The sequence below is a fragment of the Homo sapiens genome, chromosome 11, assembly GCF_000001405.40.
Source record: "Homo sapiens chromosome 11, GRCh38.p14 Primary Assembly".
Taxonomy (NCBI): Eukaryota; Metazoa; Chordata; class Mammalia; order Primates; family Hominidae; genus Homo; species Homo sapiens.
In genome coordinates, this window is record NC_000011.10 from 38,628,790 (window position 1) to 38,655,358 (window position 26,569).

The 26,569-nt window shown below is 36.0% G+C and overlaps 3 long non-coding RNA genes across 8 annotated transcripts in view; 2 read left to right on the forward strand and 1 right to left on the reverse strand.

Moving 5' to 3' along the window:
* The window catches only part of LINC02759 (long intergenic non-protein coding RNA 2759), a 28,093-nt gene extending 10,526 nt beyond the window's left edge, over positions 1-17,567 (reverse strand). For both annotated transcript variants that reach the window (NR_120555.1, NR_120554.1), the window contains exons 1-3: positions 17,534-17,567; positions 6,182-6,306; positions 4,958-5,019 (exon numbers count right to left, since the gene is read on the reverse strand). This is a non-coding gene — a long non-coding RNA (long intergenic non-protein coding RNA 2759). The remainder of the gene's footprint in view (positions 1-4,957; positions 5,020-6,181; positions 6,307-17,533) is intronic.
* Positions 17,568-17,686: 119 nt separating this feature from the next.
* The window catches only part of LOC105376635 (uncharacterized), a 41,273-nt gene continuing 32,390 nt past the window's right edge, over positions 17,687-26,569 (forward strand). For 2 of the 5 annotated variants that reach the window (NR_188550.1, NR_188552.1), the window contains exons 1-2: positions 17,687-17,805; positions 19,980-20,145. This is a non-coding gene — a long non-coding RNA (uncharacterized LOC105376635). Of the gene's footprint in view, positions 17,806-19,634; positions 19,816-19,979; positions 20,146-26,569 lie in introns of all 5 variants that reach the window. The other 3 variants (NR_188554.1, NR_188551.1, NR_188553.1) reach the window with 3 other exon arrangements.
* LINC01493 (long intergenic non-protein coding RNA 1493) lies at positions 20,069-26,460 on the forward strand. The gene is made up of 3 exons (NR_120553.1): positions 20,069-20,145; positions 24,192-24,330; positions 26,171-26,460. It is a non-coding gene; the product is annotated as a long intergenic non-protein coding RNA 1493 (long non-coding RNA).

The window sequence follows — 26,569 nt, forward strand, 5'->3', positions numbered from 1 at the left end:
TTTGAGTTTTCTAATTTACATAAACAGAAATCTGGAGAGCAGGCATGAGAATGGATATTAAGGGTATGGGATAATGGTGGAAGGAACATAGACTTGGATCAGGCTGAATTTATTTATTTGGGCCCACTAAATAGGGACTCTGCTTTTAATGTTGCATCTTGGAGAATTAAAAAAGGTTCTAATAGTTTATTGGTTGGGTTAGCTGAAATATGGATTAAAGGATGGCCCACTGTGAGCAAGCTGGAAACACCTGATCTCTCTTGGTTTAATATAAAGGAAGGGATCCAAAGGCTTAGGGATATTGGGATAGTGGAGTGGATTAGTCACTTTAGACCTACTCATCCCAGCTGGTAGAGTCCCTTGACCAATGCCTTGTGAAACAGATTTGTGAGGGCAGCACCTGCATCTTTGAAGAGCCCTGTAATTGCTCTTCTCTGTATGTCAGATCTAATAGTGGGAACCTCAGTCACTCAACTACAAAATTTAAATTCAATGGGAATAATTGGGGAATAATTGGATCCCAAGGTGGCAGGGGCAAAGTAGTGGCACTCAATCATCCAAGGCAAAGTTAGTGTTGCTACTGTAATGAACAGCAGAGCCAAAGCGGCAATCAGAATAGTCTTACTCTTATAGAGCTTTGGCATCGGCTGATTAATCACAGTCTTCCTAGAAGTGAAATTGATACAAAGCCTACTGCATTTCTACTTAATTTACATGAGCAGAAAACTTCCAGGTCGAATAGACAAAAGACTAATTTGAATTATTAAAAAAGAGAATTATGGCTCCTCAATCAATTTCCAGACTTGAGCCCGTTTACACACCCAGAGCCCCTTTAATGCAGGGAAGGCCGAGTCCCATTGAGGAAGGACCCCACTATGCTATCCATAATTTATATGCTGTTAATCTTTCTCCCAACCTTCTCCAGGGAGACCTCTGGCCTTTTGACAGGGTAACTGTGCACTGGGAAAAGGGAAATGATCAGAGATTTCAGGGACTACTAGACACTGGCTCTGAGCTGTTGATTCCAGGGTACTCAAAATGTCATTGTGGCCCTCCAGTTAAAGTAGGAACTTATGGAGGTCAGGTAATTAATGGACTTTTAGCTCAGGTTCAATTCACAGTGAGTCCAATGGTTCCCTAGACACTCCCTGTGGTCATTTCCCCAGTGCCAGCATACATAATTGGCATAGATCTAATTAGCAGTTGGCAGAACCCCCACATTGTCTCCCTGACTGGCAAGGTGAAGGCTATTATTGTTGGAAAGGCCAAATGGAAGCCATGGGAGCTGATTCTACCTAGAAAAATAGTAAATCAATAATAATATCCCATCCCTGGATAGATTGTGGAGATTACTTTCACCGTTAAGAACTTGAAAGATGCAGAGGTGGTGATTCCCACCACATCTCCATTCAATTCTAGTATCTGGCCTGTGCAGAAGACAGATGGATCAGAGAACAATAGTGGATTATTGTAAGCTTAACCAAGTGGTGATTCCAATTGCAGCTGCTGTACCAGATGTGGTTTCATCACTTGAGCAAATTAACACATTTCCTGGTAACTGGTATGCAGCCATTGACTGGGAAATGCCTTTTTCTCCATTCCTGTCCATAAAGCCCACCAGAAACAATTTGCCTTCAGCTGACAAGGCCAGCAATATACCTTTACTGTCCTACCTCAGGGATATATCAACTCTCCAGCTTTGTGTCATAATCTCATTCCGAGATATTTGATTGCTTTTCGCTTCCACAAGACATCACACTGGTCCATTACATTGATGGCATAATGCTGATTGGATCCAGTGAGCAAGAAGCAGAAAACAAACTGGGCTTAATGGTGAGATATTTGCTTGACAGAGGATGGGAAATAAATCCGACTAAAATTCAGGAACCCTCTATCTCAGTAAAATTTCTAGAGGTCCAGTGGTGTGGGGCCTGTCGAGGTATTCCATCTAAGGTGAAAGATAAGTTGCTGCATTTGGCCCCTCCTACAACCAAGAAAGAGTTACAACGTCTAGTGGGCCTATTTGGATTTTGGAGGCAACACATTCCTCATTTGGGTGTGTTACTCTGGCCTATTTATCAAGTGAACCAAAATGCTGCCAGTTTTGAGAGGGGTCCGGAACAGGAGAAGGCTCTGTAACAGGCCCAGGCTGCTGTGCAAGTTTTTCTGACACTTGGGCCATATGACCCAGCAGATCCAATGGTGCTGGAGGTATCAGTGACAGATACAGATGCTGTTTGAAGCCTTTGGCAGGTCGTGATACGTGAGTCTCAGTGGAGGCCTCTAGGATTATGAAGCAAGGCCCTGCCATCTTCTGCAGACATCTACTCTCCTTTTGAGAGACATTTCTTGGCCTGTTACTGGGCTTTGGTGGAAACTGAACATTTGACCATGGGTCATCAAATCACCATGTGACCTGAACTGCCTATCATGAACTGGGTGCTTTCTGACCCATCTAGCCATAAAGTTGGGCATGCCCAGCAGCATTCCATCATCAAATGGAAGTGGTATATATGTGATCAGGCTCGAGTAGGTCCTGAAAGCACAAGTAAGTTACATAAGGAAGTGGCTAAAATAACTATGGCCTCTTGGCTGCCACCCTGCTTCTCTCTCCCAGTCTGCACTGATGTTACATGAGGAAGTAACTCAAATGCCCATGGTCTCCACTCCTGCCATTCTGCCTTCTTTCCCAGCCTGCACCAGTGGCCTCATGGGGAGGTTCCTATGATCAGTTGAGAGAGAAAAAGAAAACAAGGGCCTGGTTCACAGATGGTTCTGCATGATAGGCAGGCAGCATCCCAAAGTGGACAGATGCAGCACCACAGCCCCTTCCTAGGACATCCCTGAAGGACAGTAGTTAAGGGAAATCTTCCCATTGGGCAGAACTTCGAGCAGTGCACCTGGTTGTGCACTTTGCATGGAAGGACAAATGGCCAGATGTGTGATTATATACTGATTCATTGGCTGTAGCCAATGGTTTGGCTGGATGGTCAGGAACTTGGAAGAAGCATGATTGGAAAATTGGTGACAAATAAATTTGGGGATGAGTTATGTGGATGGACCTCTCTGAGTGGTCTAAAACTGTGAAGATATTTGTATCCTATGTGAGTGCTTACCAATAGGTGACCTCAGCAGAGGAGGATTTTAATAATCAAGTGGATAGGACGACCTGTTCTGTGGACACCACTCAGCCTCTTTTTCCATCCACCCCTGTCATCACCCAATGGGCCCATGAACAAAGTGGCCACGGTGGCAGGGATGGAGGTTACACATAGGCTCAGCAACATGGACTTCCACTCACCAAGGATGTCCTCAGCACATCTCTATATTATGGATGTTTTGACTCTTTGGCAACTGTAATTTTGTAGTTCAGATTCTCATAGATAGATTAATTTAATTTTCTTAAGTCTATCTGCTGTTTAATAAAAGATTGGTTTTAATTAAAATAATACAGAAACCTACACATCATCATCATCATCTTCCTCAACATCAATTGTGATATTTGATAAATGTAGCAAAAGCTAAAAGGAAATAAGCTGATATGAAAGTAGAAAGGGCACTGCAGCACACAGACACGTACAACAGGGAAAAATATTCAACATATTTATTGAAAGGCCTAGTAAAAACTGCAATTGCATCAAAGAGAAATCCCATTATTGAGATAAGTAGGCACTAGTGTCTCCTCAGTTGTGGAAAAAAAGAAGAAAAAACAGAGGAGACCCTCTATTTCAGGATATACCCAGAATTAACTTCAAGGAGCCTTTATGAATTATCCCACGGGAATCTGATATGCAGACTTCAGTTGAATGGGAGACTCTTTTCTGAGGGCTGGAGCAGTTGTTTCAGGCATGGAGCATAGCGTTCATTCGAGCTGGGCAGTATTTGGCCTCAGAGAGATTTGGATCCACCACATCGCAGCTGTGAGTCAGACATGTGACCTATGCCTTAAAAGCATTTATTTACTATGCAGATAATTACAAGTGTGTGACATAGGTAAAATAACTCTTGTTAAAATGTCTAGCAAGAGACATGGCACATATTAATTGCTTGATTAAGGTCTGTTGTTGCTGTTGCTGCTATTACTTGGGTTGCCCTCAAATTGCCAGGTTTACTACTGCTGACCACGCTGAATGTTGAGAATTCAAAGGCAGTAGCCATGTTCTTTTGTAATTAAAAACAAATCTGTACTGTCACCATGTGTAAACTCAATATACTTTCATCTGCCCAAAAGAGAGATCCACATCTAGAAACACAGGTTTAGAAAATATTAGTCAGTTTTTAATTTTTTCTTTTTTTCCCTCGTGGTGGTAGGCTAAATGGAAGGTAACTATTGAGGCTAAGAAAAGTAAGAACAGCCAAAGGAAAGGCAATGGAAAGGGTCTAGTGAAAAAGAGCATAAGGAAAAAATTTCAAGAGTTTGATCCTTGATGTAAAAAGCAACTGTATGTTTCATGGTTACATTTCAGGCATATACAGAGGAGTTATGTTAAGCAGTGCTTTCCCAGACCAAATAAATAATGTCCAGTCTGTCTACTCATTATTATGGTTCTAGTTATTGTTATTGTAAAAGCGGGAACTTCCTCAAAGGAAACATCACTGGTGTCAAAAATAATTTCATTACATTGGTGAAAAAGTCTCACACTGTTGCCAGGGCTGGAGTTCAGTGGTGTGATCTCGGCTCACTGCAACCTCTGCCACCCAGGTTCAAGTGATTCTCCTGCCTCAGCCTCTCGAGTAGCTGGCATTACAGGTGCATGCCACCATGCCTGGCTAATTTTTTGTATTTTTAGTAGAGATGGGTTTCACTATGTTGGCCAGGCTGGTCTCGAACTCCTGACTTTGTGATCCACCCGCCTCGGCCTCCCAAAGTGTTGGGATTACAGGCGTGAGCCAGGACTTTTTTAAAAAATCAGGATAGAGCATTGAATAAAAACATTTAACATTTTGTAGAAATTACCTTCTGTATATTTTCTCATCAAATGTTGGGATCTTCTTTCTACTTTAGCAAGTAAAAATCCACTGCAATAAAAATAGCATGGGATTAAAATATGTGAGCAAAGTAAAACTGCTAGTATATTTGCTCTTATAAAAGAATCAGATTAAAGAGGAAGTTTGATACAAGTCAAAGTCCACAAGTGCTTAATATGCTTTGCACGTGAATTTAGTTGGTTCACCATTAATCATGTTTAGTTGCACCTGATTATTTTGGAGATTTTAATGTATCAGTTTTATTAGAGTGACTTCTCAGGATGTTTATAACAATGATTACAGCTCTGTTAATTATTCCACCTATTTTGGGATTGTTTCAAAGTCAATCTAATTTTTTTAAATCTAAGGTTATAATGGGTAAAGACTAGATGACTTGTTTAGACAGTTTCCATTGTGTTAAGAAAACTTAAATATGATTTGGCTATTTTAATGTTTATAATATATAGTTCATTGCTACTTATGATTTTCTAAAAAGAAATATTTTTATATGATAATGTTTTCTATAACTTCCGCTTTATTTGAACATGAAAAACAATTCTTTTTTTTTTTTTGAGATGGAGTCTCGCTGTCGCCCAGGCCGGAGTGCAGTGGCGCCATCTCGGCTCACTGCAAGCTCCGCCTCCCGGGTTCACGCCATTCTCCTGCCTCAGCCTCCCGCATAGCTGGGACTACAGGCGCCAGACACCTCGCCCGGCTAATTTTTTGTATTTTTAGTAGAAACGGGGTTTCACCGTGTTAGCCAGGATGGTCTCGATCTCCTGACCTCATGATCCGCCCGCCTCGGCCTCCCAAAGTGCTGGGATTACAGGCGTGAGCCACCGCGCCCGGCCGAAAAATAATGCTTTATTAATACAATTGTCCTCCTTCATCCTTCCAAAGAGTGAGCCTCCTTAATAGAACCAAGGGCATGAGTAATAAAACCCATTTCAAACCTCCAGACTAATAAAGGTGCAAATTGTAACATGCTGGGTTCTTGTATACAAAGTAATTTATGCAAAAATAGTAATTTCCAGATGTTTATATGAGTGAGAAATTAAAAGTCAAATGTATGGGTACAGTGAAAACTATCTCTCAAAACCTCAATAAACTTCCAAATACTCTATCTTGTTGCTAACCATCAAATTTAAACTATGATCGTTATAACAAAATATTTATGTTCATAGACATTCAAAGATCACATTTATGGACTGACCAGGGTGCATTAAAAATAATTGAATCAGGCAGCAGACAAGAATTGATTCCGAAGTTTGGCCCAGAATAACATCATTGCAGTAGTATGGTCAGTGGAAAGTCATCACAGCTCAGGAATCAACTGTGCTATTATAGATTGAAAAGAAGCCAAAAGTCTGGGTCAATTTTTTTTTATAATTAATTTTTCACTTGGTGAGTACATAGTAGGTGTATATATTTATGGGGTACATGAGATATTTTGACACAGGCAAACTGTGTGATAATCAAATCAGGGTAAATGGGATATTCATCACTTCAAGCATGTATCCTTTCTTTGTGTTATGAAAAATCAAATTATATACTTTTTGTTATTTCTAAATATAGAATAAATTATTTTTGACTGTAGTCACCCTGTTATAGTCAAATACTAGATCTTATTTATTCTATTTAACTATTTTTGTACCCAATAACTATCCCGTCTCTCCCTGCAACTACCCTTCCCAGCCTGTGGTAACCATTATTCTACTCTCTATCTCTATGAGTTCAATTATTTTAATTTTAGCTTCCAAAATCAGCTATCTTCCTTTGCCTGGCTTATATTGCTTAACATAATGACTTCCAATTCCATCCTTGTTGTTGCAAATGCGGGGTCTCATTCTTTATAGCTGAATACTGCTCCATCGTGTATATGTACCACATTTTCTTTATCCATTCATCTGTTGATGACAATTAGGCTGGTTCCAAATTTTGACTGTTGTGAATAGCGCTGCAATAAACATGGGAGTAAGGATATCTTCTCAATGTATTGATTTGCTTTCTTTTGGGTATATACCTAGTAGTTGGATTGCTGGATCTTATGTTGGTTCCACTCTTTGTTTTTTTGAGGAAACTCCCAACTGTTTTCTATAATGGTTGTGCTAATTTACATTCCCAGCAACAGTGTACCAACGTTGTCTTTTCTCCACATCCTCACCAGCATTTGTTACTGTCTGTCTTTTGTATAAAAGCCATTTTAACTGGGGTGGGATGCTATCTCACTGTGGTTTTGGTTTGCATTTCTCTGATGATCAGTGATGTTAAGCACCTGATCACATACCTGTTTGCCATTTGTATGGCTCCTTTTAGAAATGTCTGTTCAGATCATTTGCCCATTACTAAATCAAATTGTTAGATTTATTTCCTGAGTTGTTTGGGCTCCTTATATATTCTGGTTATTAATCCCTTGTCAGATGAATAGTTTGAACATATTTTCTCCCATTCTGTTTGTCTTTTCTTTACTTTGTTGATTGTTTACTTTCCTGTACGGAAGCTTTTTAACTTGATGTGAACCTATTTGTTTATTTGTGCTTTGATTGCCTGTGCTGGTGGGGTATTACTCATGGAATTTTGCCCAGTCCAATGTCCTGGAAAATTTTACCCAATGTTTCCTTTTACTAGTTTTACATTTACAGGTATTAGATTTAAGGCTTTAATCCATTTTGATTTGATTTTTTTAACTGTGAGACATAAGGGTCTAGGTTCATTCTTCTGCATGTGGATATCCAGTGTTGCCAGTATCATTTATTGAAGAGACTGTCCTTTTCCCAATGTATGTTCTTGGCACCTTTGTTGAAAATTAGGTCACTGTAGATGTATGGATTTGTTTCTGGATTCTCTATTCTGTTGCCTTGGTCTATGCATCTGTTTTTATGCCAGGACCATGTTATTTTGGTTACTAAAGCTTTGTAATATAATTTAAAGTCAGGTAATATAATTCCTCCAGTTTAGTTATTTTTGCTAGGATAACTTTGGCTATTGTGGCTTTTTGTGGTTCCATATAAATTTTAGCATTGTTTTTTCTACTTCTGTGAAGACTGTCATTGGTATTTTGATAGATATTGCATTGAATCTCTAGATTGCTTTAGGTAGTAAGAACATTTTAATAATATTGATTCTTCTAATTGATGAATATGGAATATCTTTCCAGGTTTGTGTTACCACTTCAATTTCTTTCATTATTTTTAAAATAGTTTTCATTATAGAGATATTTTATTTCATTGGTGAAGCTTATTCCTATGAATTTATTTTATTTGTAGTATTATAATGGGATTACTTTCTGGATTTCTTTTTCAGATTGTTCACTGTTGGTATATAGAAATGCTACTAATTTTTGTATGTTGATTTTTGTATCCTGCAACTTTACTCTGTTTATTTATCAGTTCTAATAGGTTTTTTGATGGGGTCTTCAAGATTTTCAAAATAGAAGATCATATCGCCTGTAAACAAGAATAATTTGACTTCTTCCACTCCAATTTGAATGCCCTTTATTTCTTTCTTTTGTCTGATTGTTGTAGCCAGGACTTTCAGTACTATGTTGAATAACAGTGGTGAAAGTGAGCATCCTTGTCATCTTACAGATATTAGAGAAAAGGTTTTCAATTGTTCCCCATGCAGTATACTAGCTGTGAGTCTGTCATATATAACTTTTATTATGTTAAGGTATGTTCCTTCTGTATCCAGTTTTTTCCTGTTATTAATCCCTTGTCAGATGAATAGTTTGCACATATTTTCTCCCATTCTGTGTGTTTTCTCTTTACTTTGTTGATTGTTTACTTTCATTTATTTATCATGAATTTCATTTATCAGGACATTTATCATGAAAGGATGTGGGATTTCAAAAAATGCATTTTCAGCATCAATTTAAATGATTTTTTCCTTCATTCTGTTGATATGATGTATTATATTGATTGATTTGCATATGTTGAACCATCTTTGCATCCCTAGAGTAAATCCAACTTCATCATGACAAATGATCTTTTTAATGTGTTATTGATTTGGTTTGCTAGTATTTAGTAGAGGATTGTTGCATCAATGTTTATCATGGATATTTGCCTGCAGTTTCTTTCTTTCTTTCTTTCTTTCTTTCTTTCTTTCTTTCTTTCTTTCTTTCTTTCTTTCTTTCTTTCTCTTTCTTTCTTTCTTTCTTTTCTTTCTTTCTTTCTTTTTTCTTCTTTCTTTCTTCTTTCTTTCTTCTTTTTCTTCTTTCTTTTTTCTTTTTCTTCTTTCTTTCTTTCCTTCCTTCCTTCTTTTCTTCCTTCCTTCCTTCTTTCCTTTCTTCTTCCCTCTCCCCTCTCCTGCCTTCCCCTCCCCTCCCCTCCCCTCCCCTCTCCTCTCCTCTCCTCTCCTTTCCTTTCCTGTCTAGCTTTAGTATTGGTGTGATACTGGCCTCTTACAATAAATTTGGAAGTATTCTCTCCATCTCTATTTTTTGAAACAGTTTGAGTAGAATTGATATTCATTCTTCTTTAAATGTTTGGAAAAATTGAGTAGTGAAGACATCAAGTCCCAGGCTTTGCTTTGCTATAAGACATTTTATTATGGCTTTGATCTCATTACTTGTAATTGGTCTGCTTAGGTTTTGAATTTCTTCATGGTTCAATCTTGGTAGGTCATATTTGTCAAGGAATTTATCCATTTATTCTAAGTTTTCCAATTCATTGGCATGTAGAGGCTCAGTAGTCTAGTGATCCTTTGGATTTCTGTGGTATTGGTTGCAATGTCTTCTTTTTCATTTCTGAATTTACTTATTTGAGTCTTCTTTGTTCTTACTTAAAGTAAGGTTCATCAATTTTGTTTGTCTTTTCAAAATCTACTTTTGGTTTCACTTATCTTTTCTATTTTTTTGTTTCAATTTTATTTATTTCTGCTCTGATCTTTATTATTCTTTTATTCTACTAGTTTGAGGTTTTATTTGCTTTTGCTTTTCTAGTTAAGATGTATCATTATGTTGTTTAGTTGAAGTTTTTCTACTTTTTAAATATAGGAACTTACAGCTATAAATCTTCTCTTAGTACTTCTTTTACTACATCTCATAAGTTTGCTAAGTTTGTTACCATTTTTACTTGTTTCAAGAAATTTTTAATTTCCTTCTTAATTTCTTTGTCGACCCACTGGTCATTCAGGAGCATATTGTTTAATTTTCATGTGCTTGTATAGTTGCCAAAATCCATCTTGTTATTGGTTTCTAGTTTTAATCCACAATGTTTAGAGACGATACTTGACATAATTTCAGTTTTTTGAACTGATTTGTGGCCTAACATATGGTCTAACCTTGAGAATAATTTATGTGCTGAGGAAAATAACTTTTATTCCACAGCTGATGGGTGAAATGTTCTGTAAATGTGTATTATGTTCATTTGGTCCGTAGTGCAGATAAAGTCTGATGTTTCTTTGTTCTTTTCCTGTCTGGATGATCTGTCTAATGATGAAAGTGAAGTGTTAAATCCTCCAGCTATTATTGTATTGGATTCTATCTCTCTCTTTAGCACTAATAATATTTGCTTTATATATTTGGTTGCTCCAGTGCTGAGTGCATATATGTTTACTATTATTATAACTACTTGCTGAATTAACAACTTTATCATTATATAATAACCTTCTTTGTCTCTTTTTATGATTTTTGTGTTAAAATATATTTTGCCTGATATAAGTATAGCTACTCTTCCTCTTTTTTGATTTCCATTTGCATAAGAATATCTTTTTTCTATCCCTATATTTTGCATATTTTTGTGTCTTTATAGGTGAAGTGTGTTTCTTATGGTTATCAGATTTTTAGATCTTATTTTTTTTCTTTTTATCCATTCAGCCACTCCATCTCTTTTGATAGGAGGGTGCAGTCCATTTACATTCAAGGTTATTATTGATAACTAAGGACTTACTGCTATCATTTTGCTATCTGTTTTCCAACTGTTTTGGTCTTCTCTTCCTTCTTTCCTTCCTTTATGACTTCCTTTTAATTAAGATAACTTTATCTGGTGGCATGTTTTAATTTCTTGCTTTTTATTTTTTTGTGTATTTGATACATGTTTTATGACTTGAGGTTACCATGTAGCATGCAAATAATATTTTATAACCAATTATTTTCAACGGATGACAACTTAAACTGGTTTCATAAACTAACAAACTAATAAATAAAGATAAAATGAGTACAATCTCTACATTTGAATTTTATCCTCCTGCTTTTTAACTTTTTGTTGTTTCCGTTTATATCTTATTGTACTGTCTATATATTGAAAAGTTGCTGAAGTTATTATTTTGATCAACTTATCTTTTCCTCTTCTCAAGATATGAATAATTTACAAACCAATTGTACAAATACAATTACAATATTATAATATTTTGTGTTCTTCTGTGTACTTACTATTATTGCATGAGTTTTGCACCTCTAAATATTTTGTTGCTCATTAACATCCTTTTCTTTCAGATCAAGGAACTCCTTTTAGCATCTCTTGTAAGACAAGTCTAGTGTTGATAAAATCCCTCAGCTTTTGTTTTTCTGAAAGAATCTTTATTTCTCCATATTTAAAGGATATTTTTACTAGGCATACTGTTCTAGAAGAAAAGTTTGTTTGCTTTATTTTAGCACTTTGAATATACCACTTCCTCTTGACATGTAATGTTTCCATTGAGAAGTCTGCTGCCAGATCTCTTGGAGCTCCATTATATGTTATTTGTTTCTTTTTTCATGCTACTTTTGGAATCATTTCTTTATCCTTGACTTTAGGAGTTTGATTATTAAATGTCTTGAGGTACACTTGCTTGAGTTAAATCTGCTTGGTATTCTGTAACCTTCTTTTATTAATGCTTGAGTATTGATATCTTTCTCTATGTTTGGGAAGTTTTCTGTTATTATCCCTTTGAATAAACTTTCTACCTCAATCTTTCTCTCTCTATCTCCTCTCTAAGGCCAGTAACGCTTAGAATTGCCCCTTTCAGGCTGTTTTTTAGTTATTGTAGGCATGCTTCATTCATTTTTATTCTTTTTTAAAATGTCCTCTGACTGTGTATTTTCAAAGAGCCTGTCTTTAAGCTCACTAATACTTTCTTTTGCTTGATCAATTCTGCTGGTAAGAGACTCCGATGCATCCTTTAGTATGCAAATGCATTTTTCAACTCCAGAGTTTCTGCTTAGTTCTTTTCATTTATTTCAATTTTTTGTTAAATTTATTCAATAGAATTCTGAATTCCTTTTCTGTGTTATCTTTAATTCCACTGAGCTTCCTCAACACAGCTATTTTGAATTCTCTGTCTGGAAGTGCACGTATCTCTGTTCTGTGCCTTATTTAGTTCATGATGAGGTCATGTTTCCTAAATGGTTTTGATGGCTGTGGATGTTTATTAGGCACTGAGGTGTGAGGTATTTTTTTCTTCACAGTTTGAGTTTGTTTGTGCTGATTCTTCTTGGGAAGGCTTTCTGAGTATTCTAAGGAACTTTGGTTTTGTAATCTACATATTTCATCACTGTAGTTGTATCTGCATTAGGAGGCACCCCAACTTCAGTAATCCGTGGCTTTACAGACTTGTAGAGGTGGTCTTGGTGGTCTTGGATAAGATGTGGAGGAATTCTCTAGATTACCAGGCAGAGACTGCTTTTCCCTTCCATTACTTTTTTTTTTTTTTTTTTTTTGAGACGGAGTCTCACTCTGTCACCCAGGCTGGAGTGCAGTGGCACAATCTCGGCTCACTGCAAGCTCTGCCTCCCAGGTTCACGCCATTCTCCTGCCTCAGCCTCCCGAGTAGCTGGGACTACAGGCACCTGCCACCACACCCAGCTAATTTTTTTGCATTTTTAGTACAGACAGGGTTTCACCATGTTAGCCAGGATGGTCTTGATCTCTCTTGACCTCGTGATCCATCTGCCTTGGCCTCGCAAAGTGCTGGGATTACAGGCGTGAGCCACCGCCCCCGGCCCCTTTCTTCCATTAGTTTTTCCCAAACAAATGAAGTATCTCTCTCTGTTCCAAGCTGCCTGGATCTGGGGGAGGGTTGACACAAGTACCCTTGTGGCCACTACCACTGGGACTGTGCTGAATCGGACCTGAAGCCAGCATGGTACTGGGTTTTACCCAAGGCCTGCTGTAACCACTGCCTGGCTGCCATCTATGTTCACTCAAGGAACTGACACTCTACAATCAGCAGGGGACAAAGCCAGCCAGTCTTGTGTCTTTCCCTTCAGGGTAGTGAGTTTGTCTGAACCCAGGCATGTCTAGAGATGCTGTCAGGAAGGCAAAGTCTTCAATGAGAAACCTTAAGAATCCCCCTGATGCTCTATTGTTCTGCAGCTGAGCTGGCACCCAAGCCACAAGACAACATCCTTTCCACTCTTTCCTCCCTTTTCCACAAGCAAAGGAGTCTTTCTTGATGGCCACCAAAGGCCCAGGCCTATGGCAAGTATTGACCAGCAACTGCTGATGCTCACTCAAAGCCCAACCATTCTTTTTTTAAGCTCGTGGTAAGTGCTGCCATGCCTAGGACCTCTCCCTTCAGGGCAATGGGCCTCCCAGTAGCCCAGGGCAGGTTCAGAAATGCCTTCCAAGAGCCAAGGCCTGCAACTGGGGACCCCAAGAACCTGCTTAGTGCTCTACCCCACTGTGGCCAAGCTGGTACCTAAGCTTCAAGGCAAAGTCCTCTTTATTCTTCTCTCTCCTTTTCTCAAGCAGAAGGAATCTCTCCCCATAGTCACCACAGCTAGGAATGTGCTAGATCACATCTGGAGCCAGCATGTCTCAGAGTGTCACCTAAAACCCATAGGAAGTACTGCCTGGGTATTTCTACTGATTATTCAGGTCCCAAGGGCTCTCTAGTCAGCAGGTGATGAATCCTGCCTTATTCTTCCTTTCAGAGAGTAGGTTTCCTCTGGCCCAGGGTGTGTCTAGAAATATCATCCAGGAGCTACGGCCCAGAATGTGGGCCTTGCAACTTTGTTTCATGCCCAGTCCTATTGTGGCTGAGCTGGTATCCATGTTGTAAGACAGAGTCTTTCTTACTCCCCCTTCTCGTCTCCTTAAACAGAGGGAAAGTGTCTCTCCCAGAGCTGTGAGCTGTGCTGCCTGGCACTGGGGAAGGGGTAGCACAAATACTCACTTGAACACCCTAGCTGGTGTCTCACTAGGTTGCTTGTCCCCCAAGTCCACTGGCTCCAAGCATCATGGCTTTCCCAGGAAGTGCAGTCCTTGTGACCTAGATTGCCTTTGAAGCTTATTTTAGATCACAGAGTTGTTTAGCCCACAGTAGCGAGGCTTGCCAGACCTCAAGTTCCAATTCCTGGGGTCAACAGATCCCTTCTGGCTAGGGCTGGTCTAAATGCTCCCTCTGTGGATGTCAACGGAGTTCTGCCTGGTGTTCCTTTCCACATTGATACAGCAGCACTGAGTTCCAATGCAAAGCACCACATTTGCTTTGTTCTCCTTCCACCAAGTGCACAGATTCTCTCTCTGCCTTATGGTGCCACTGCCAGGAGATTGGGGAGGGGTGGTGTTGACATTAAAGATGGTCTTTCCTACCCTCTTGGTGCCTCTTTCAGTAATATGAAGTTAAAACCAGGTACTGTGATTGTTCACCTGATTTTTTGTTCTTATGAAGGTGTTTTTTGTATAAATAGTTTTTCAATTTGGTATTCCTGTAGGAGAACTATTGGTGGAGGTTTCTATTTGGCTATATTGCTCCACCTCCCCATTTTCCTAATAATGTCAGTTATTAAGGAAAAAGAATGTTTTATAGAGTAAGAGCAAGGCATTCTCCGGGGGAGTTAAGATATACAGACAGAACTTGCAAGTAGCTTTTTAATATGCCACTTTCTGATTTATTCCTAAGGAGCTATTCTGTTGGGTAGTTCACCTCAAACTTAATGGTTCACTATGTCCTTCAGCTAAACAGTTTCATCCCTTGAGGGCTTAAAAGTTATTGTTACCTTTTTTTTCCACAAAATTAAAACACTCAGACATATAGAAATTAAATTCAACAAAAAACAAATTATTGTTATAGATCTTATATCAGAATCATGGGTTTTGGTTTGATTTTTGTTTTACTACATAGTATTGGTCTCTGACTTCCTTCTGTATTGATGGAATCTTTGTTTTCTAAAGCTTATATCCCTATTATAAATGGTGAGAATAAAGCAAATTATAGAAATATGCTTTCCTCAGTTTCTCAACAAACTATGAGATAGACATGCAAGGCTATGTCTATGTAGGATGGTTTTCAAGAACTGGAAAATTATCCCAGTATTCCATTATATTTTTAATTTATTCCTAATATATTCTCAACTCCATCATAGATGAGTCTTTAGGTTCCTTCCAATGAATCTTATTTAGAAAACAACGTTTGGTGTCTCTATGTAGGTAAAGGTTTGGGATGCTTCTGCTGAGTGAGAATATTGATGAGATCTACTCTAAGAAAATTTAATATATGAAAATGAAGTTTTACAAACCAGCAAATTAAGCAATGTTTATTCAAAACTCAATGACTCGCCATAGATTGACAAATTATCGCTACCTGAATTGTAAACCTGATGTTATATATGTGTGAGAACACCTAATAATTTTAAGTATTTAATTATGACAAATTACAGAACTATAGCACTTTATCTATTTTTAAATTAGAGTTTGTTTGTATACATATAAATATTTCCAGCTAATAGAAGATATAAATGAAGTATTCTCTATTCTAGTTTTAATATTTAGCTGTTAATTCTCTAATTTTAATCTGTATTGATTACTGTATAGCTTTCAAAAACTCTCCTTTTTACTGTGGACATTTGCCTATATGCATATGATCTCCATTATAATGCAATATTCATTCCAGCTCAAAATTCACAAACCTGAGAACAAATGCTAAGCCTGTACTCCTGTACTTGGTAGTCTTTGTATGCAATGTATTGTAAAGCTCTCTATATGCAATGCTGTATGTTTTCTTTTGAACAATTTTTTATTAAAGATTTTACCATTGCTAAGTCTATGAAAAATAACAATTGTTATTTATTTTCATTTTGGTAAGTGAAAAGAGGGGGCACAAAGCCTTCAAGTGACTCATTTTCTACTCTAAAATCTTTAGAAAGCTCCCTCCAGAGTTTTTACATACAAGTGTTTGTGTTCACTGAGATGATTTATGTACTCAACTCATTAAAGTATTTTAAAAGGATCCTCAGCAAGGTTAGCATTAAAAAAGAAATTAATTCAGTGCTGAGAATATAAATAGAATACTGTAATCATACCAAATAATAGAAATCAGCTCTTTCTTATCCAACATAAACTTCTTTCAAGGAAAAAAAATCAACCAGCTTCCATAATTACATTTTTATTGTGTTTTTCATTTACACCATATTTCTCTGTTAGGTAAGCTTGTCATTGCAGGCAGCTCTACCTTATGTATTGAAATTAAAATCAAATAGACTCAAGGTTCTATGATTTTTTTTTGTTCTGTAACTAAACAAAAAAATATTTAAAATCTGTTTCTTAAGAAAAAATAAAATTATTTGATAGTCTAGGAATATTGCCATACTTCAAATAATGAGTAAAATTTTTAAAAAGTGTTTATATGCCAGACATGGTACAGGATGTTTTATAATAATTATCAAATTTAATTTTCAAAACAATTCTGTGATGTATACATATTTTAAGTATCTTAATTTTGCTACAATCAAAAATTCTAACATAAAGAGATTTATAGCAAAAGGTTCACCATTAGCTCTCAAATGTAGACTTCTGAGAAGAAAATGTAGCTGCAGTTTGAAGCAGTAAATTCATCTTTCTTCTCTAAATGCCATATTGCCAATCTCATGATAAAACAGTTCTTCTCTACTCAATAACTTTTGATAACAACTCCTAGTGCTGCATACTTTGTTTGTGTACAGAGAAAGAAATTTTTTCCAACATTCCAATTGTTTTTACATTTATTCTATTTGAATTGGTTTGATGGGGTCCCAACCCTAACACCATCATTTTACCCAAAAGAATGGAATATGATAATTGGTTAAGTCAATAAGGGCTTAGATTAGGCGGTTTGAAGAATGGGATGTTACCTAAACAAAATTCAGGTACTATTAGTTGAGGAGAATTATAAAATAGCTGATAGATTAGTAGATAAGAAATGCCCACTAGAATATTATAATCTACATTTAATAAATGAAAAAAGTCAGGTTCAAAAAATTAATTTACTTAACAATTATTGCCCAGAATGAAGCTACCTCCACTTTGATGTTTTGCGTAACCTCAAGCCCATAACCCCCAATCCCATGAAAAAAGACTGGATTTAAACACTGCTGTGAATAGTACATGCCATATCATTGTATAGGTACTTGGTTTGTCCATTATAACATACCAGATTTGTTAACTGACTTTATATGAAATATGTATCTATCTTTAAAAAAATCAATGGAATTATTTTAATTTTGGATTTTCTAATGAAAACAAAAATAATTTGACAAGTAAAAAAATATGCATCTATGGTATGCAATGGATTACATCCAGATTATTAAACTGTTAACCTAAAGATAGGCATATATAAAGTAATGCGGTAGCTGGTTTCCAATGACAGTGTCTAAAAATTTTTCTCTTACCTTTATGTTCATACTACATGTCAAGAGGTAGAACATATCTACCCTCCCCTTGATTGTGGGCTGTCCTCGGATGTAACCAATAAGATGAGGCAAAAGTGACATTCTAGAACCCCAGGCTTTAAGATAACAGACAGCATCCACTTTCTGTTCTTTAATGAGTAGTCATAATATGAGAAGCCCAAGCCACATGGGGAGACCACATGGAGAACTAACTTGCCTCTGTCAATCCCATATGATCTCCCTGCCAAGTGCCAGCATCAAATGCCAACCATGTGAGTGAGCCAAGTCGGACATTCCAGGCCAATTTTAGATTGGCCCAATAGCCTGACATTTACAGCCATTCAACAATGGCCCAGCAAGTATCACGTAGAGAGAAAAAAACTGAGCCCAATCATTTCATGGAAAAATAAGAGATAATCAGATAGCTGTTTTAGGTGTTTAAATTTTGATATGGCTTATAATGCAGCAATATAAAAGAAAAAAGGTCAATATCTGTAAAGGTTTCTTAAGTTACAATCCCTGCTCATTAGTCCATCAGTAAAGCCCTCAGGTAAAATTCACATCTTTGTGTCTGGACCCCATTCTTTTATCCGAGGAGTACTGTTCTGCTTCCTACTGTATTAATCCACAGCCTAGTTTGGCCTGCACTTTCTAGACCCAGAATCAGCGTGAAAATTATAAAAAGTCCTCAGTCTCTTAGAGCTGGACAAAGTTCAGAGTTTAAAGGACAACTACATTTATATTATTGTATTCATAGCTATCTTTATCTCTTTTGTTACCTGGACAGATTCATGCAGAACTTATTCAAGAAAAGCAAACCCTTCTCCATATGCATTTTGGAAAATCACTTGCAGCCATTGCTTAGAATTTTTAATTTATTTTGAGCTCGGGTTTCTCTCTGATTGAAAGTTTATATAACAAACTCGACTTCTGAGATTAAGAGATGAGATTCTAAGGCAAGAATCATTTAGAAGATACTCCTTTATTCAAGAAAAACAACTGATTGTTACTTTTTATATAATACTATAATCACTCTCCCTTTCCCTCTCTTCACCACTTTATATTCAGAAAGTTTGCTTATAACTATGTTATATCCATTTTGGGGAGGTCTATACTAGCAGAGAGAGTTTTCCCAAAATTTTTGACTGAGTAAATTCATTAATATCAAGTACTTACAGATTATATGATTTCACTTTTTTCATCTTTAGTTTTTCTGACCTATATGAGGCCAATAAAGAGCCTAGAACTCAGAACTGAATTTGGAGAAAAGACGTTAGGTATGATGGTCTGAAAGACATCAGCAGTAGCTGACGTGGGATTTACCATTTTTAGTATTCAATATATATTTTAATGTAATGTGCCATCTGTAGTGCACCATAGAAATGCAAATCTCAAATCATATTTTTCCAGTAAGTTTGCTTTTTTTCATTGCATGGACAGAGAAAACTTTTAAGAAATTTACCATAGCTAAGTTAGATTAGAATGAGTAAGTGTTGGACACTTACAATTAGTCTGTTGGACAGACTAATTTTTCAACAGGCATATGATACTCTACTGTCTTATACAGTGCCCATCTTTTCTCTAGGCCAAACATAATTTTGGACTCCCATTGATTAAGATCCTCTGATTCAATTTAAGGCAAATTTATTGATTGGCATAGTCAACAAGTTTTCATATGAACAAAATGTATACAGCAAATAATAGGGGACCCCAAACTGGCATAAAGCATTTCAAATGTTATTGAATTTTGATTTAAATATAAAATTAAATAAAGAAATTTAAGATTTTTTCTATCTTGCTGCTCATGGTTATTTTATAATATTTACACTGAAATTTATCCAAATTTAGCCTTTAGAATATACAATGCTCTAATATTGATGTTATTAGCTACTCATAGGAAGTGTTAAATATATTGTATTCTAACAAATAATAAAGGCAAAAAATCAATACCTGCTTCAGGAAGCATTTTGTTTTTAACATGATATGTTTGAAAATAAATAGCATAGAGGGCATCTGACTGTATGTTAGCCCGAGGGGTAATTTGCTTTAACTTGCTGAGCCTGTTATCATTTGCTAACAACTCCCAGTTTCTATTTCATAGGATTGTTTTAAGTCCTCATTGGGCATTTTAAGTTCTGTTTGAAAGAGCTGCATCACAATTCTTATAAAGGACTTGTTGAATCATAAGCTGTTTCCTTAAGCACCAGTTATGTGGGGGACCTTGTGCCAGGCACTGGGCCACATAAATGAGAATCACAAGGACCAGGATTAAGAAAAGACAGGTAAGTCCTCTTCTAGAACGTAGCAGTAAGGAAGCACCAACAAAATAAAATCGTACTCAATATAATTAATGGTTAAATGCAGTATTTTTACAAAATATAAACGTAAATGTAAAATATTACATAAATAGAAGGTGAGTATGACTGATTTACTCTTTTTGTGTCAGGCTCCAGTGTGACTCAGCACAGTGTTCACAGCCCATGCTCTCAAGAATCTCAGCTTAGGAGGAGGCAAAGAGGTAAAGCACAGGTCAACATGCAGTGTTGGACTACATAGAAAGTACATATCCTTCATTAGTGCTGGCAAGACAGATGAATTAATGCCTTTCAGGGGTAAACATCCTATCTATTGATATTGATATTGATATTGTTACTGCTGATGTTGTTAAATTACTTTTATGGAAAGAAATACGTGATGCCCAGGTCTGCCCAAAAGAGACCTCCTAAATATTATTTGTTTCTTTAAATATCTTCTCTCTCTTATTATTAATTGGTAAGGAGAAAAAGAGCTAAATGTTTCCAATTTGAATGTGATGTGCTCCCATCTAATTAGCAATTAAAGAGTTTTTACAAACTTAATGAATCTTCATTCCCTTCATCTGACTATCTCTGTTGCATTTTTGCAAATCAGCATGCACACAAAAATACAGTTTCATTGACTTGCCTGACCTAACAAGCACTGAACATTTTTTATCACATTTCTCTGAAAGCTTCAGCATTTTAGTACTGACATATTGCTAATGTGAGGAAATATGACTTTATTCTGCTGACTACTAATTAATCTTTATAATTATATCATCTCTCAAGCATAATCAAAATCAGATGCAAGAAATAGTGGCTCTAAGAAACATCTTTATCTGCATAATTGTCTTACTATAAGAAAAGACTTCAACTGAAGCCTCACTTTGAGATAAGTGATTGACTTGGTAATTATTGTTCTCAAATTAAGAAGAGTTTAAAAGAAAGAAAAATAAATTTCATGTGCATGTTATGCACTGAGTTTCAATGAGACATTGAAAAGTTCTGAGAATATGTTTTTAATAATAGGAAGAAGGCTAGGCATGGTGGCTCACGCCTGTAATCTCAGCACCTTGGGAGGCCGAGACAGGCAAATCACAAAGTCAAGAGATTGAGACCATCCTGGCCAACATGGTGAAACCCCGTCTTTACTAAAAATACAAAAATTAGCTGGGTGTGGTGGCACATGCCACCTGTAGTCCCAGCTACTCGGGAGGCTGAAGCAGGAGAATCACTTGAACCCAGGAGGCAGAGGTTGCAGTGAGCCGAGGTCACACCACTGCACTCCAGCCTGGCAACAGAGCGAGACTCCATCTCAAAATAAGAAGAAGAAGAAGAGGAGGAGGAGGAGGAGGAGGAGGAAGAGGAAGAGGAAGAAGAAGAAGAAGAGGAAGAAGAAGAATGATAATAATAATAATAATAATAATAATAATAATAATTTAGGGCCTACTCTAAATCCAAGATGATTTCATCTCAAATTATTTAGCTTAATTACACATGCAAAGACCATATTTCCAAATAAGATCACATTCACAGCTACCGTAAATGAGGACTTGGACATATGTTTTAGGGAGCACTGTTCAACCCACTAGATATATTTCAAATTTTTTGCTAATAATGACAAAAAATGAATATTAATATATCAAGAATTATAGAAAGACAAATAGAAATCAACATATTTATAAGGGTTAATTTGTATCATAAAATAATTCTTTTCCTGCAAGAGATTAAAATACCAGAGAGACAAGTACTTAAAGGAGCTGCATTAAAGGAGAAAAATAACATCTTGGTTGGGTTTAGTATGTATTTTACTTCAATTACCTATTGCTGGTGAGAGTGAGATCATTGTTAAATGTCAGAATGCAGACAGCAATAAACTATACTGGATGCTAACTGTAGGAATTTTTTTTTTTTTTTTTCGGCATTACCTACAAAATGCAAAGAGGTCCTTGCAGGGCATCAAGACTTGCAATTAACAAACAAAAGGTACATATTCTACTGGATGAAATAATAAACTAACAGGAAGAGTGAATTTGCTGCCTTATTTTGGAAACATGACTCATACCTTTTAGATAGGTTTTTCCAATATCATCACCTTATCTCTTTCCAATCATGTTTGATATTTAGGTTCAGACATGCAGAACTAACAGTTATTAAAAGGAGTGTATGCCAGCCATATTTCCAGTTAAAAAGGAACATGACAAGTATACCTGAAAAATAAGATGAATGGCAGAAAAGAGAAATGTATTGAATGCTAAAAAAATGTTTGAAGTCAATTTCCATGGTGACTTCAGAGGTTTACTGGAACATATTTATTTTGGCATACTTTGTGACTCAGACAATCTCTCAATTTATTGGGTTCTGACCACTTGCTTTCAGAATCTAGGTATAGTCTGGATTACTCAATATCTCATCTGGTTAAGAACCTGAAGTTCAAAATAATGGAAGGCATACTTGCTTATAGGAGCAGGGTATATTATTGAAATATTTGAAAAGTAGATCTGTATAAGCAAAGTTATGAAAGGACTGTTTATTTATTTGAAGAAGTAAAAATGATACTTCTGACATTTTCTAGTTGGAGGAGAATTACTAAAGGAAGAACCATGAAAAATCTAACAATTATGAGGAAAGGAAATAATAGTAACAACTAATTGTTTAATCATAGAAAAAAGGTAAAATTTTTAGGGAACTATTTACTAGATTGATTCAGCTTTGACGGTTATTTGAGTATTACACAACGTCAGGAATCAGAGATCAGAGATGGAAAGGTCACTATAGAACATGAATAACTTTCAAATCTACTTTAGAGAAAACTTACAAGCTAACTTCAAAAAGTATTTGTCAGTCCTAGACAAGTTAGTATGTCCTAGCATAATAATTGGGTCATCTTGGGATTGATAACAGGAGTACTATTAAAGTCAACTCAAGTGTACTCAGAAGTCGTTGAAAACGTGCTAATTATGCTTAGAAGTGTGGTGACTATCCAGTATTAACCCCTTTCCTTATCTACCAATCATTTCACTTACCTCCAGTCCCTAGGACTCCATTTGAAGGACTAGTAATGAACTTAGCAATTATTCATTGAGTAGCAACTATGTGGGTGGAGGTTCTAAGGAGCTGTGAAGTTGCAAAGATTAGTAAGCTATAAATCAATTCTTTAAGTGTTTATAATTTAGAGACAGAATTAAGATACCTACAAAAATAAATATAATGCAATATCTAGAATACCAAATATCATGAGGAATCACAGAAAACAATTAGTAGTGAGTTTCAACAAGCGAGAGATTATATTCTGTTTTCAGGAAATGGAATTGAGGGAACTATTCGTAAAGGTCTTGGCATTTTTAGCAGAGCCTAGAATAAAATAGTTTGGATCTGGACATATAAAGAGTGGACTGGGAAAGGGAATTCCAGGCAGAATGTACACTGTGGGTAAATGCAGAGGCAAAGAAATAAAAGAAATGTAGAAGAAGTGATGAATGGATTGATAAGAAAATGCTGGGAGGATGTTAATAGGCAACAAATATTCAAGTGCAGATTAGGAAAACCTTGAATATCAGTTTAAGGAATTTGCACTTTGTTTTATAAGTCCTAAGGATTCAGTGATAAATTCAGGGAAGTAAATTAAATTATCAGACAGAGATTTTAAGAAACCAATTGCTTCTGTGATGCCCTCCAATTGATGTATACTGAATATTCTTTTCTGCTTTTTGTAGTTTTTTTCTTACCACTCAGCACCAAATATATATATTTGTTCATGTGATATAAATAATCATTGCTTAACAGGCATGGAAAAGAACTAACAGAATCCAACAACTATCAATGTGTTTTGAGTGGAACTTTCCTTAAAAAAGTCCCCCAAAATGTGTTTAGCTATTTTTAAATAAGATCACTACTGGCATGGGGGAGGAGAGGCAGTAGTTCTTTAACGTGTGGAACTGCAAAACATTTAGCATCTGTGTCTTGGAACACTATATATATCCTTGCCCACCACCCTCCACAAGTCCTTGTGCCAACCACAAAATTCCCACTCACATTTCCAGATGCCCCTAAGTATGTGTGGGAACATGAGCCAGAACATCCCTTAATTGAGAACCACAGGATCCAGCATATAATAATTACACATAATATTTGTAAATAAAAGGTCTAATACACATGTTCCACCATGTATTCTTTTATGTTTCCTTCATAAGGAACACTGTAGTGAAGGAATTCTGTTCTGAATAAACTAAGAAACCCATATACCAGATATCTATTTTGGATTTAATAATGGATAATACTATAGTTAAGGCCCTTAGTAATTATGCTATGAAGAAATCCTTTTAACATTATACAACTTTTTTTATTTTTTTTTGATACAGAACTTCCCTATTTGTTTAATATCTAACTAGCCCTAAGGTTAATATTCAAAATTATTGATAAAATGCATTAGGAGATCTGATGATAGATGTCTTAAGAAGAAGATCAGAGTTTCGGAAGGACATTCTCACACAGATCTCAGTGAGTCTTTGCCCACCTAGTCTATTCAACTTTGCTGATCTCCTTCTTTTCTTTACTCTCTCCACTGCCAATGATTTGTCTCCATACGTGTGAATTTATTCAATCCTCAATTTCCAACTAAACATTTTCAACAATTGTTCTTGAATAACACCAACAAGAATATAAAATGTTATGTCTATACTTCATTTGAAACATGTATACCGTATTTTTAGTTTAACTATAGAAATGTACTTTTTATTTTACCAATAGAATTTTGGAAATTCTAGCCACTTTTGCTAATCTATTATCTCTTCTTCTTCTTCTTTTTTTTTTTTTTACTTTCTGTTTCTTCTTTTGTCCGTATCTTTTTCACAGAATGAGAATGCAACACCTGTAAGGCATTTAGTTCTAGTGACATTTTTCTCCCATGCATAACTTAGCTGTTAAGCACACACACATATATATACACATGTATATATATATATGTATATTTCTTACCTTTTTATACATTAAACATACATATCAAACACTTGGAAACAAAAAGTGTTTCTATAATATATGGGTATATTATTCCAAATGGCTAGTATTTTGCTAATCATGCCCCTCTAATTAGCATTGCCATTGGAAGTAAAAGTGTTTGGATGACACATAAGCATATTAGTCATATGAAGGTGTAATTTGTTGTTTCGCCTGCCAAGAGAAAAAAATCACATTCCTAGAATCCAAAAGAAAGGAAAAACTTGACAAAATATTAAGAATGAATAAAAGAAATACTATAATTTAAACACCTACACTGTGCCACGAATTGTGTAAGGCATGGTAAATGTCTCTTACTTCTCAAACTCCCCGGGAGACACGTATCAATAATTCTTATTGACATTCTTATTGACGTTGTCCTTCCATTTTAAATATTAGAAAAGAAAAACAGAATGAAATTAACTCACTTGCCCAAGGACACATAATGCATTAGTGGCATGAGTTCATGTTTGTTTAACTCAATATCCTGGCTCTCTTCACTACCTCTTATTTCTTGTCTATGACAGGCCACAGCCAATCTTTGGCATGTTTCAATTTGTTAGCTAGGTTACAAATCCCTAGTCAGCTTATTCAAGGAATCATTGCAACAAATTAATCAGTAGTAAAAAGCCAGATAGAACAGTATTAATTTACTTTCTTATTTTCTTTCTACGTAACATGTCTTCGACCTATTTCTCTTCTTAAGATCAAGGCCAGGTAAAGCCTTAAGTGATATAAAGTGATATCACATAACAAGTGATATGAAGTCACTTGAAAAATGCGCATTTTAATCTTCTCTACTTCTTACTATCTATATGACCTTGGGTCCTTTACTTAATTCCTCTGAATCTGCTTTCTTTTATCTATATATAGAGTGATGAATGATGATATATAGCTAATACAAGAGTTCTTCAAAATATAAGATGTAATAATATGTAGATATTTTCTACTCAAACCCTACACTCAGTTGGCATTTAACCTTCTTTCCCAGCCCTCTAAATTCAATTATTGTATCTCTGGAAATATATGAATTCCAAAGTGATAATATAAATAAGTATACAGGAGAATGTTGGTGGATTTCTTTGATGGCAGAATTAAAACAATCAGTAATTGATGCTATATCAGCTAAAAAAGTAGAAGCTGATTTTTTAGGATACTCTATGAAAACAAAATGTTGAGTTTAATTGCCAGAACTGAAATTCCCAGCATTAATACTGACAGCATTTATTTTCACCCTTTCTAAACTCAAAGGTAATAAGGCTGAAATATGCAGTTCCCACATGTAAGATGAATTCTTGTGTATCTGTGTGTACAGTTATTTTTAATACCTATATATTGATTTCAGGTTTACCTCTTATTCCAGAGGGCATAAATATGCAATGGCACTATTCATAAACTCAACCAATGGCACAATCATTTTAATACTGACATGCTTCAGTACAAATAAATATAATTCAGAGAAAATCTTCCATGAATATTCCTTACGGAGCTGGAAAAAACGTTATCTGAAGCAAGATGTTACTATGGGAGGATTATATTACGTGCACTGTGTTTTGGCAATGCTTTGGGATACAGTCATTAAATAGGTTGGCTGAAAATTCATTTTACTGGTTAATTAAATCCAAGAGTTTGCAAGAAAGGTGGTCATATTATTTTGGATTTTATTTCTTAAAACATTAAAATTGAAATTTTTAAAAGTTATGAAGGGGTAGTTGGGAGTACTGACAAATTTTACATAATCTCT